At 37.4% G+C, this 13,750-nt stretch overlaps 1 annotated feature.

Moving 5' to 3' along the window:
- Positions 3,300-4,656: an enhancer, noted in NCBI's record as "VISTA enhancer hs1013". NCBI's record gives its function as "enhancer in: forebrain[4/6]" and the evidence as "EXISTENCE:transgenic organism evidence [ECO:0001131][PMID:17130149]".

The raw sequence follows: 13,750 nt of genomic DNA, 5'->3' as shown, positions 1-13,750 counted from the left end.
TATAGTGATTAGAAACAGACAAAAAACATCAACAATGATTTAAAAAAAAAAAAAAAGAAAACAGCACCCTTACATCTTGAGAGAGCTCAGACAGTTTTCTATATTCAATTCATGATAACATATTTAAATAAAGATAGATCAGATTCTAAGATTCACATTCTTATGAAAATGACCACAGCATTTTCAAAAGTTCATTTTCTCTGCTAAAGTAATCTACTGCTAATCCTTGGAGTTCCAGTACCCTTTGGAAAAATTGCGAGGCAGATCAAAAAGTGCTATGAAAATCTTGGGACTCACGGTGTGCTTATGATTTGGGAGAGATGACTTATTTAGTTCTGAGATCAAGATAGATATTATAATATGGTGCAAATTAGAATGAAGATACTAAATAATTTACGCTAATGCTCTCAGTTATAAAGATAACTGCTTCACTTTGCGACTGATATAAATTAAGGGAATGTATTTAAATGTATATTTTAATCAATCAAGAAGGCTCGTCTGCCAGCCGGTGTTAGATGCTAATGCATGCTCTCAATGAAACGGTCTGTTTATTAACTAATTAAATGCCAACTAACCGAGTCACTAGATTCAGACACTGAATGGTGATGGTACATTGTTCTGGTCCTTGTGTGGGTATACTTCCCAGTACGAAGTCTGGCCTCTACGTAGTTGTGGAACAGTTTATTGCTAAATAGTCTAAACCTCTGTTTATTTAAAATGTGAGGTTGATGATGAGATTAAGAGAAATGAGGTGTCAGAGGTAAGAATATTCCGCAGGAAGTTCCACTGAGGCAGGCCTGTACCAGATTGAGACCCCCAGCTTCTCGGCTATTACTGACCAGCTGCTTAGTGCATAGTAGGCCGCTCAGGGAATGTTCATGGAATTGAATTGCATGAAGTTGAATGTACTATTAGGTATCCTGATGAGCTGCAAGAAAGACATCTTTTCAGGGAATCTTGGGGACTTGATAGAAAGCATATCTAAATAACTGCCTGCATCAAAAGATTGTGGAGTAATAAGAGAGATGAGGATGTACAGGTATAGGTAGTGAATGCCTGAGTTGAAAGCAGAACCAACTAATTAGGGTACATTAACAGCTCAGGGAGCATAAAACATGCAAGAAAAGACATTTGAAATGGAAGCCAGAAGAATGAGATGAACTGGAAATTCACAATCAGTACCATTTCCTTACTAATCAAAATCCATTTTCTTCCGCTTTTATTTTTTCTGCGCTGGCATTTTTCTCACACATCATGGGCATAGAAAATAAAATCAGCCAGGAAAGTGGCGGCTCCTCAACATCACCAACAAATTGCTCTCAAACTTATCTTATTTTCAGGATCCTTCTTCTTCTTTTTAAATTTGCCTGCTTTATTTTTGAGATTAAACAGGAAAATCTGAAGATGATTGGTATTGAATCTAGCCTGCTCAAATAATGTATTTACTAAAGAAAATTCCCTTATCCAAATTTTATCTTCAAATGAATTGCCGTATTTGTGACATGTTATTTTTTTCACATCTTAAGAACTCACGAAACACATTAAAAATGAAGCTTAGTGCCCTAATACACAATTATGTGAAATGTGGTAGTTATGGAACTTAAAGCAAATGTAAATATAATTTTGGACTGAGAGTAGTTAACATCTTTCTCAACTATCAATTTGAAGGTGAACTTAAAGAAGCAGAAAACCCTAAGTGGCAGACACTCCACATAATTCTTAATATCTATAATTCTTGAAGATTAATTTTTGTCTTTTTATCTGGCTCTATTTTGAGGGTGCTGTTCTTTATGAAGCCTGAAAAAACTTCCACGAAAGGATCACACCAAACTGGAGAGCTGATCTAACTGGACCTCTTTTTACATGGATTCTGCCTAAGAGAGAATAATTTAACAGTCTCCTTATCACTTGGTCCTTTGCCCAACTTTGATTAAGGATGCTGGCTTGAATGACAGGTGTCTCTGGAATCTTAAGATGGCTGCCAAATTGGTTTCAAAAATTACAATTCAGTCAGAGCCACACAGAGAGGACAAGCTGATAATGCCTAAGATGTGTTCCTTAATTCTTCTAAGCTTAGATAGATACCCAACAAGTTTTAGATTTGTGCTTGAAAACTTCAAGTTATTAGCTTAACCTGAGGTTATTTCCTGAGTGAATGACCAAGTCCTGGACTGCTAAAAGTCGAAGTGAATCAAGTGAATGGTCTGACCTCAGACAGGATGCTCTGCCCTCATATTTACTAAGATACTAAGATAAATGGTGATAAAACCTCTCTTCTCAGCCTGCATTTCAGCTTAGGAAAACTATGGACTTTCTAGGAGATATAAATATCTCCATTGTGTCATGTCGGTATCAGTAATGAGGGTAATGTCTGTGTTGACCAGAAGAGGAATTCTAATGATTCATAATCACAGGGGGCCAGATCAAGATCAGCAATGCTTTCCCTGGCAGGTCCAAGGATCCTGTGGCAAATCAGATGGGCTAGACCCACACTAACTTTCCTTCTGGGATTGAGTCCTATGGCGTTGCCGTGAGTTACTCAGTTTCTCTTTATCCACTCTGGTAGCACTGAAACCACTAATATCTCCTTGTAGGTTAAAGACTGCACCAACAATGGCCAATTACTTCTTATGACAAATGTCAGCATGTGAGAAGCTAGGTTCCAATTACATTAGAAGCTTTCATCTTCTTACATCTACCCCAGCCCCATTTCTCCAGGGATAGAATTGTGCATGGGTGAAAAGAAGAGTTTGGTAGGAGTTAGGAATGCAGGACCATTTTAATTTTATTTTCATGACATCGAAACTTTATGTCATATGTATCATATTTGCTTTCTTCTTTTTAAATATTGTCTCTTTGTATTGCCTATTTTAAAAATTAATTGAAATTGTATCATTGAGGTATAGAATAAAATGTTAAGTAAACATTTTGGTACCTACAGCTGAATTAGATGACTTGCATTCAAACGTTTCCTTTTGAAAGCAATACATAGTTGCTTTTATTTATCATTTTAGAAAGAAGGGAAATACCCAGGGAGATGTTTCTATTTTTTAAATTAAATAAGATATATCATAGAGCTAGTGATATTAAGATAAATTGCAGTTGAAAGTTCGAAGTGTCCTTAGAAACCAGATCTCCAATTTTATCATTTTACAGATGAAGAAACTGAGGCCCAGAGAACGCGAGTGATTGGCTCAAGTTGATACCATCTAATTAGTGATAGAGTCCTTGACTAGTAAACGTCCCTTTTGTCTCATTGTGTCTTATAACAGTTATCTGAGTATACCTGGTATCCTTTAGTATCTCAGCCTCGTGATGTGCAAGTAAAATATTCAAATGAAGGAGGCCTGCTTTGAGCTGTAGTTCATCTTTCTACAATTGTATTTAAGATCAGCATTTTAGTTTGCCCTCAAATAAAAAGAACAAATGCACAATATTACATGATAACATTTCTAAAGCTCCATGAATCACTGGAAATGATATAGATGCAACAACACCGATATAGTCTATGTCAATTATCGTGCCTCTCTTACAGGATAATTAGGAGTTGTTCGCTGAAATACGCTTTTCATTTTCATTCACTGGTAATGACCATGCACTCCTTCAGAGAAGATTTATTTTTCCCCCACCTCTGCTTCTTCTAAGCTAAGCACTTTTTCTTAACTCATGCAAATGAAAGGTGTATATTCCATGCAAGAGAGTGTGTGTGTTTGTGTAATTAAGATGTACATATTAACTTTTTAGCTGACACAAGAAGATACAGCTTCAAAATATTGGAAATTTGCTTCAGATAGAACACATCTTCATGTCCTCCATTCTATATAAAACAAGCGATATTTACAGGAATAATTCTCTATGTAATTACACAATTATTAAAAACATAGTAGTGAAGTAGGAGCTTTTATCAAGTCATTCAAATTAGTGCTATTTCATACTAATCACTATCTACTTGAATGTGTATTGCTTGGATGTGACTGTAGAAAGCTCATTAAATAAATTTTCTTTAAAATTTAATTACTGGGAACTTCTTCAGATAATAATGATTATGGGTATAATTAGGATCTTTGTTCCTCTTTGTTGTTAGACTAAAAGGTACAAAGATTCAGAGAAAAAGAGATCGAAATTACATATCCAACACTTGGAGAAGTAGTTGTCACAGGCGTTGTAGAATATTAAAGAGCCCAATCCAGCAGTGGCACATCAAGATCGAAGTCTACAAATTGTAATTTGGCATTTCGTTATTTAGTCTTTCATTTTCTTCCTAAATTGCCTGGGTTGTATTTGTGAACTATAAGTGAGAAACAATGAAAGGCCGTTTCCTTTAATGTCTGACTGTAGGCGATGTCAGAAATTTATAATACCTTCACTTACAAAGACCGTAGGATGCAGATCCTGTGCTTTGGTAATTTAATGAGCTGACATGAGAGGTGCTGTATGTGTCCTCTCACTGTGCTAAATGAAACTAGCATAGCCATGCACTGGAGTTAATGGCTTTTAACCCTTTGTAATTCAGAGAAAGTCATTCACACTCTGACCAGTGAAGTTTTTTGGATCCTCTTTCTCAAATTGCGATCAAATTTCTGTTGAAGGTTACAACAAATGTTTTCTTAGGATTACTTCATTTGGAAGCAATATACACTGAGAAAAGCTGGTGCATATGATTTCTAGATTCAATTACCATAACAATCCCCCAATTCCTCAGTCAAAGACAGTTCCAAATCAGTATTTCAGCACCCAGAAATGTTCTCTGCTAGAAAAAGCTAAGAAATGAATTGTGGATATTTTGGAAAGACTTCTAACAAATGTAAAAAGTGAACATGCTTCAGCTCTAAACTTGACACAAATTATGTTTGTAAAATAGTCAACATAAGAAGTTGGAAAATATTATAGCTAAATATGAGAGCCACTTATAAGAGTGAAAAGGAAAATGTAAGTCTTGTTCTTACATCATTGCTAGAGTACAAGATGACAGGAGCTCCATAGATATAAGCAAAAACAATGACTTTAGGCAGCACCATTCTGACCCAGAGCCTTCATGTTATCAGTCAGCTACGATCTTTGCACATAAGCTGCTGTGTTGGGCATTCCCTAAAGTACTCCAGCTCTCCTTGTCATCAGAAGGGTATGCGGAACCAAAAGTGTCACCAAGCAGATTAACAGAGGTTCAGAAAAAAAATAGTTGGCTGTGTGAGAGGGAAACTTGTTGATGTTTGCATTGTGTTTGAGTTGTTTTTGGCATTGAGAGTTATATAATTTGCTCAGGGTCGCTGGAACCAGGTAGGTCGGATAACAACTTCGTGTTTTCACTGACATGAGAGAGGCATACAGAGGCATAGGAGAAAGTGGTGATGGAGGCGGTGCCAGTGGCAGTGGAGGAGGAGGAGGAGGAAGAGCAGAAGGAGGAGGAGAAGGAAGGAAAGAAGAGCCCACCACCACCACTATAATCACCAAAGCAACAATTGCAACTCAGACATTTTTGTTTTGTTTTGCTTTGTTTTCCTGTCATGGAAACAGCCATTTTTGTGTCTATTTCCTTGACAGAAAATAGAAGGTGTGGGTGTGACTGTCTTCTCTCGGGCTCCTGTTCATTTCTACATTGTCTTCATAAATAGAGAAGTCCTCTGTCCCATCTCAACAGTCGGTATTAAATGTAGACTGCTGTATTTATGGATTAAATTCTAAGTTTCTTTCATTGGAGACTATGTTTTCAGGCCTCATTGAGCGAAGGACAGAAATCAGAGGCACATTTAGCACAGGGGAGCTCTGAAATGCCTGTTGTCAAAAAGTAAGAAATGTAATCACGGAAAAGCCCAGACAGAAGTCTCTCTGTTTACTTTGACAACCAGAATATTTGGCCACTCTTACGGATGTATCAAAGACTATGGTTCTGCATCAGTCTTTCATTTCTCATGTACAAATAAATGCTCCAGCAGGGGGAAGGCATGCACAATGTATAGTTCAAGTCTGAGGTTTATGAGAGGCTATAGCTGATAGTTTATATCTCTGGGCATTTTAAAGAGCTTTGAGACAAGTGATACCATCATTAGTCTAAATTTTTTAGGTTACAATTTAGCACAATGAAAGATACTATGTTCTCTCATATCCAGAGACATTCACACACAGATAATGCTTCATTCTTGTGATTAATAAGTGTCTATTGCTTCTGTTTCTCTAAATAATTAAGGGCTGTTTAGACACATTATTTAATCTACAGTGGGGTTTTTGTACCTTTAATTTCTGGAATAGACATGATTTTGGATGGCTCATTTAGTAGTAGATTACCAAAATGTTTTTGAAGCAATGATGTTGTAAATTGAGGATAATGAGTAAAATTGTTTCTAGAACCCCTTTGAATCCAATGTGCTGGATTTGGTAATCTTGGGTCTGCTGCCTCACTTTGGCACCTCCTAGAAGTGGTATATCATGCTGGATGTGACTGTGTAAGAATAGTCAATAAGAATGGCTAATAACCAGGACAAGAGGTTCCTTAGGCAACAATTATGCAAGTATCCAGTGACTAGCAGATAGGAAAGGGGCGAATGCCTCTCTTTGGCCTTCAATCCTTCTCTTGATTTAGATTCTCAGTGTATGCTTCTATCTTGAGGACTTATCTTTCTGGCGAGCCCAGAATAACAGGGCCAACTGCCCTGGCCTCATCAAAGCCAACATGTCTCTAATTGAACTCGTCATTGTCTTTGCCCTTCAATGTTTTATTCTCTTGTTTCCAATTTTGGTTCTTGTTACAGTGAGCTAGCAGGTTTCCTCTTCTCTACTCATCCCTATCAGATACATGCATCCCTCCAAATCTGCATGATCTTAAAAACTGACCATCTTATTCGCCACAGCTCCCTTTTGCCTCCAGAATAAAGCCCTGTCACTTGGAATGGTAGGCAAAGCTCTTCATAATATGGTCCTCATTGGTCTTTATGGGCTTATCAAGGGAATATCTAGAATGAATTCCATCTCCACAATAGAAGTTTCATAGAGGTCACAAGTCTCGACTGCATTGTCATCTGATGTAAAAACCACTTAATAAATATTTGTTGAATGGCAAACTGAGTGGATGAATGCATGAGCATCTCTCATTTCATTTTTATTGTCTATTTATATTGAATTTTATTTCTCAGCATACATGCTGTTCATATCTTCATACCTTTGCTCATGAAGTTCTCTCTTCTTGGAATCCTGGCCCAACCTTTCTTTTCCTGGCTAATTCATCCTCATCCTACAACACTTAACTCAGATGGCGTCTTTTATGAAGCCCTTACCAAACCTTCAGATAGGGCTAAACTACTTTCCCCTGTTCTTCCAGAACATTCTGTGCAAATTTCTACTCAGTTCTTGTTCCAAATTTTCTTGCTCAAACACTCTTAAGTGAACTGATCTGTTCTAAAATTTCTTCTCATTTGTTCAGGTTTGTGCCAGGTCTCCCTTCCTCTGGAAAACCTTTCCTATTGACTTTACTGTATATTGATCCCATAAGAATTCCCACAATGCATATTCCCTGAATCAATATTTCCCAACTTTATCGTGTACTGTTTTTGTTTTAACAGCTTTAATAAGGTAAAATTAACATATAATAAGTTGCAAATATTTAAAGTTTACAATTCGATGTTTTGACATATCTTTATACCCATGAAACCATCACCACAATCAAGATAATGAACATTTCATTCTTAAAGCCAAAAAATTTTCTTGTGCCTCTCCTTGCACCTCCTCCTCAAGCAACCACTAATATGCTTTTTATCACTACAGATTAGTTTACATGTACTAGGACTTTATAAATGGAATTAAAAGATGTATTATCTTTTGTATGCCTTTATTTACCACCATAATTATTTGGCATCCATCCATATTGTTGGGTTTATTTCTCTTTATTCCTGCGTAGTATTTTGTTGTCTGGATATACGGTACCATAATTTGTTTATTAATTCTCCTGTTGGTGGACATTAGGTTGTTTCCAGATTTGGGGCTATTACAAATAAAGCTGCTCTGAACAGTATGTACAGGTCTTCACATGGACATAGACATTCATCTGTCTTGCATAAATGCCTAAGAATGAAATAGCTGAATCATATGGTAAGTATAAGTTTAACTTTTTAAGAAATGGCCAAACTGTTTTGCAAAATGGTTGTCCTATTTTATGTTCCCACAAGCAGTGTTTGAGAATTCCAGTTTTTCCACATTCTCATTAACACTTAGAGTGGTCAGTTTCTTAAATCTCAGCCAGAAAAGCAGATGTAGTTGTATCTTGTTGTGGTTTTAACTTGCATTTCTTAATGACAAATGATGTCAAGTATCTTTTGATGTGCTTATTTGCCATCTGGGTATCTTCCAAAAAGTCAGCACAAATGTTTTGCTCATTAAAAAAATAGGCGGCTTGTAGTTGTTTTATTGAATTTTGAAAATTCTATTTTGGATACAAGTTCTTCTACAGATATAATTTGCAAAATTTTGCAATATTTTCTCCTACTTTGTGATTTGTCTTTTCATATATTTAACAATGATTTTTGAAGAACAGAAGTCTTACATTTTGATGAAGTCTCATTTATCAATTTGATGCTTTTAGCATTGAATATAAGATATATTGCCTAATCCAAGGTCACAAAGATTTCTTCCTACTTTTTATTTCCAAAGTTTTATCATATTAGGTCTATGATACCTTTTGAGTTTTTTTTTTCCTTTTATCTTTAGTTGACAAGTAATAACTGTACACATTTATGGGATACAGAGTGATATGATATTTGATATATGTATACAATATGTAATGATCAAATCAGAGTAATGAGCATATCTATCACCTCCAAAATTTATCATTTCTGTGTGCTGTGAGCATTCAAAATTCTCTCTTCCAGTGTTTTGAAAATATACAATAAATTATTGTTAACTATATTCACCCTACAGTGCTACAGAGCCCTAGAACTTATTCCTCCTATCCAGCCATAGTTTTGTAACTGTTAACCTACCTCTCCCTAGACTCCCCTCCCTTAGACCCTTACCAGCCTCCAATAACTAGATTGAATTGCTTTTTATATTGGTGCTACCCATGGATCAAAGTTGTTTCTTTGTTTTGTGGTTTGTTGGTTTTTTGCTGCTAGAAATCCATTTGTTCTGGCATCAGCTGTTGAAAAGACTACCCTTTCTCCACTGCTTGCTTTTGCATCTTTGTCAAAAATCAGTTGTCCATACATCATATATGCACATATCTATCTGTGGACTCTATTCTATTTCATCAATCTATTTGTTTAGCTTTACACCAATGGTCATACTGTTTTGATTACTATAACTTTATAAGTCTTGAAGTCAGATACTGTTTGTCCTCCAATTTTGTTCTTTTTCAAAGTTCTTTTGGCTTACTGTTTTTTTTTCTGGTAATGTATTATTTTAAGTTCTGTTTTTACAATAGAAATGTAAGCTGGAAGAAGATAAAGGCAATGTTTTATTCTACTTTGCTCACCTGAAAATATTTTACCATGCACAGTAAATACTTAGTTGTTTCTTCCCTCTATGTAACATGTACATTTTCCTGATAAACTCAGAAGTACTGCAGCTTTTCTCAGTCTGTTTGAAACTTGTTCCTGCCATTTTGTCAAAATTCTTTGAAAATTTTTGAAGAGTGACAGTTTTCCCCAACTTTAATCATACATAAACTGCTCACATACTGAAAAACAAGTCGTCCTATATGTTAGGAGGCGTGCTTTCCTCATAGAAGAAGAAGAAAGAGAAAGAAAAAAGCCATACACATTACTGCACAATGCTGCAGAAGGTGTTTTCCTGAACTCCAGACAATGGACGCTAATGGATCATTTGTGCTGTGTGCTGAAGCCTTTTGAATTCACAACAAGAGAAATCATCTCTGATGATGCTTTGCTCAGCCAAGTTCTCCAATCAGCCAAATTACAAAAACTGAAACTTCAAGGAATGAGACCATCTTTAGAAGGACAAAACGTCTGTTTGGCAGCTTGACTACTGAATAGCATGTGGAGCAAGCTGGGAAATTGTTAGAAAGGTGCAAATGTGTTCCAAGGCCATTATTCTCTGGGTTAATATTGTCTAGTCCTTTCTTTATCCTTGAATAGGCAGTCTTAATGCTTTATTTGTAATGCAGGGATATTGGGCTTCTACAACACATCCATCCCAACCTATCAGTTCAGATTCTGGATAAAGGATGTGACATGTGAAGGCTTCCAGAACTTTTGCAGGTGTTAAGGCACCTATTTATTGTCCTAGTCCCTCCTGCTACTGAGTTGGAATAACTGTAACCAGTTCAAGGAAGCAGTTTAGGAACAAAAAATGCTCCTTCCCATTAAGATCCAAATGGACACGTAACAGCTAGGATAAAAACATTGTTCACAACAAAGGAAAGGGTTGGAGAACTAGGTCTTCTATTAATCAAGTTACCCTATATGCCTTTGGTAAATGCCTTTGGAAGCTTCTTTGAAGGGCATATCTTGGAAATGGCTGGTGGAGTGGAAAGGCCTGTCCTGTCCCGATCTTTTGATAATTTATAAAATGAGTGCTAAATGAACTTCAAGGCCCTTTCTGGCTCTGAAAAATCTACAATTCTTTGGTTTTTTAAATTAATCTTAACTCATCCATTAAATTATAATCTATTCAATCATATGATTTATGGCTGTTTTGTACTCTGTAATAACAGGCACTTGGAGAATCTCTATACCCCAAATGAGTTGGAGGGTATTACAAAAGGAAGAGATTTTACACGATCTGGATAATTGAATAATCTTGATTTACTACCAGGACAGGCACAATAGGCTTAAAGAAAACCAATCAGTAAGTCATGAACTATCCCTGAAGGAAGGCACAATGAATATAACAAATATTCATGGGGCACCAGCCATAGGCCAAGCACGGGCTTGATGTTGGGATATAATGCAAACATGTCCATGTCCTATGCTTCCATAAAGCTTATAATCTGGTAGGGACAAAAATAAGTAAATATGGGATTACAAACTGTTGAGAAGGAAATGCAAAGAGGAACACTGACCCTGTCTGGAGGGGCAGTGGTGGAAAAGGGAGGTCTCACCAGGGAAGTGACTTTTGAGTTGAGAGTCAAAAGATTAGCTGCAAGACCCTTGCACATGCTGGTTCTTCTACTTGGCATGCTCTTCCTTCCCTGATTTGCCTAGCAACCTTTTACTTATCCTTTGAATCTTGTCTATACGTTGCTTCTCAATGGAAGTCTTCTCTGAACTCACTGGATTAGTCAAGTATCATTACGCACACTCATTATGATACACAACACTTTTCATGGCACATTTATTTCTATAATTGTTTGATTTTTCCTCCACCCCATCCCATTTACTTGATAAGTTACATGAGAAAAGAGGTCATATTTGGGTTATTTTGTTCCCATTATAGTCCTTGAACCAAACCCTGAGCCTGACATAATTAGCAGATATTTATGGAAGGATTGAATGTATGAATGAATCAATGAGTGAATTAGAGATAGCTGGGTGAAGAAGATGAAGGAGAAGGGTTTTACTGGCAAAGAAAAATTATATATGTGAATGCTCAAAATCTTCTACCAAAATTATTAGAAATGAGAGATTACCAACAGTGATGGGAAGGCTGTAAGAAATTTTATGTTAGAATGCAGATAAATTCATTATCAGACCTGGGCATTAAAATAATCCTAGTAGTAGCAGCTACTGTGGACTGAACACTCACCTTGTGCCAGGGTTTGTCCTAAAGCTGCTACACGCATTTACCCAATTAATCATCACAACCTGCAATTCCTGCCTTCTGGATGAGGAAAGTAGACACAGAGCAGTTAAGTAACTTACCTCTGAGTTCCCATAATCTGATGGTAAATTGCACATCTATACTTGGAGATGGGTGGGTTGACTCTGAGTCTTACTCTCAACTTTTGGGCCATATTCCTCAATTCCTCATGCTTGCTTATTCCCAAGGTTGTTAGGTTATTCATTGATGTCCAGGAGCCTAAAATTCAAAGATGAAATCTCAGCCATTGATCAGGCAAGGATCAAACCTCAAAATCAAACAAAACAATTCTTTGCTGAATTTGCTTTAAGCAAAACAACAGGTCAATATTCAAGATATATGGAAAAGGTTGTACATCAGTCAATTAATCCACATATAAATGTTTCTTGACAAACTATTTTAAAGCTTACCTGTATCAAGTCTGCAAAAGCTAGTCAGTTCAAAAAAAGGAATGTAAGTTATGTTAGACATCAGGTAGTCTGAGTACATTTTTGATGGAGAGTACTATTGATATTAATCCAGAATTCTTGGAAATGTCACTAGATAGTTATCTTGGCTCTTTTCCAACCAGAAAATCAATTCAACAGAAGCCCATGAATCCAACATTGTGTAGGAGCTTTCAGGGGATTGAAAAACAAGGATATGTAGCATAGACTGAGAACATTTCCAGGTTAACTGGGGAAAATGTATAGCTAAACAAAAATGAATAGAGAAAATGCACTATCCACACTTTGCAGGCTTAAACACTGAGTGAGGACAATATTAGTCATGTTTAACATAATTCATCAAATCTTAATGCTCTGAACCCTGCCAGCCCTTGTCACTGAACCCCTGAAAGTACTAATATTTGTGATTCATCTCCAAAATATTTGTGAGAATTGACAGGGATGCTTCACACCCAGTGCCCCTTGGTCCTATCAGTTTTTTAGTGCAAAGCAGAGTCACTTTTTCTCTGAGTCTCTGGACAAAGGTTTGGGTGGGGGTTTCCAAGTTTTATTGAGCCCCTGCCTGCAACTCTGTAGCCCCCTGCTCACATGTAAAACACATCTTCTTTCCTCATGTCTCTGTTTGTCACAGGGTATTTCATACCAGCATCTAGTGGGCCCACATGATAAACTTTTGTTTGCGAGTTAGTATGTTTCTAGAACATTCTGTAATAATAAGGAAGCTGGTCTTCCCAGGACACATCAAGGGGACTAGACCCCAAATGCTAGTGTATGCCTTGGCGCCACCCTGGATCCATCAAAATCACCTGAGTTTAAGAAAAATACACAGATTCTCAAGTCCTCTTCAAAGGTTCTGATTCAGGAAGGAGATCTAAGCTGAAACCTGAGAATCTTAACTTGTAAAAAGGCATGTGACTGATGAAAAGAAGCAGTAGCCTCCAACACTTCCTGTTTCTCATCTCTAAATATTTATACCAGAATTTCCTAATTGGGGCACTACTGGCATGTGGGGCTGGATTTGAGGCCCTCTTGGTTGTAGGGAGCTGTCCTGTGGGGCTGGATTGGAGGCCCTCTTGGTTGTAGGGGGCTGTCCTGTGGGGCTGGATTGGAGGCCCTCTTGGTTGTAGGGAGCTGTCCTGTGGGGCTGGATTGGAGGCCCTCTTGGTTGTAGGGAGCTGTCCTGTGGGGCCCTGTGGGGCTGGATTTGAGGCCCTCTTGGTTGTAGGGAGCTGTCCTATGCAAGGTGGGAGATTTAGCGGCATCCCTGGCCTCTTCCCAGTAGACGCCACTAGCACCGTCCTCCAGTTGTGGCCACCAAAAATGTCTCCAGATATTGCCAAATGTCACCTAGGGGTGGCAGAATTGCCCATGATATAGCATCACCGGTCTAGGTCTGTAGATAAATTGATGGCTTTGAGCAGGCAATGGAATGGAAGGGAGAGTTTGGAAGATTCAAGAGGGATGGGAAACAGTCTTACTTTCAGTTCCCTTGGAAGTAAAGCCTGAGACAAGGACCAAGATGCATGGAACTTAGGATGTGATCCCAGGAAGCAGGAATGTAA

The sequence above is a fragment of the Homo sapiens genome, chromosome 18 (genome assembly GCF_000001405.40).
Source record: "Homo sapiens chromosome 18, GRCh38.p14 Primary Assembly".
Taxonomy (NCBI): Eukaryota; Metazoa; Chordata; class Mammalia; order Primates; family Hominidae; genus Homo; species Homo sapiens.
The sequence above is the reverse complement of the archived record's forward strand: the minus strand, read 5'-3'. Positions and strand labels throughout refer to the sequence as shown.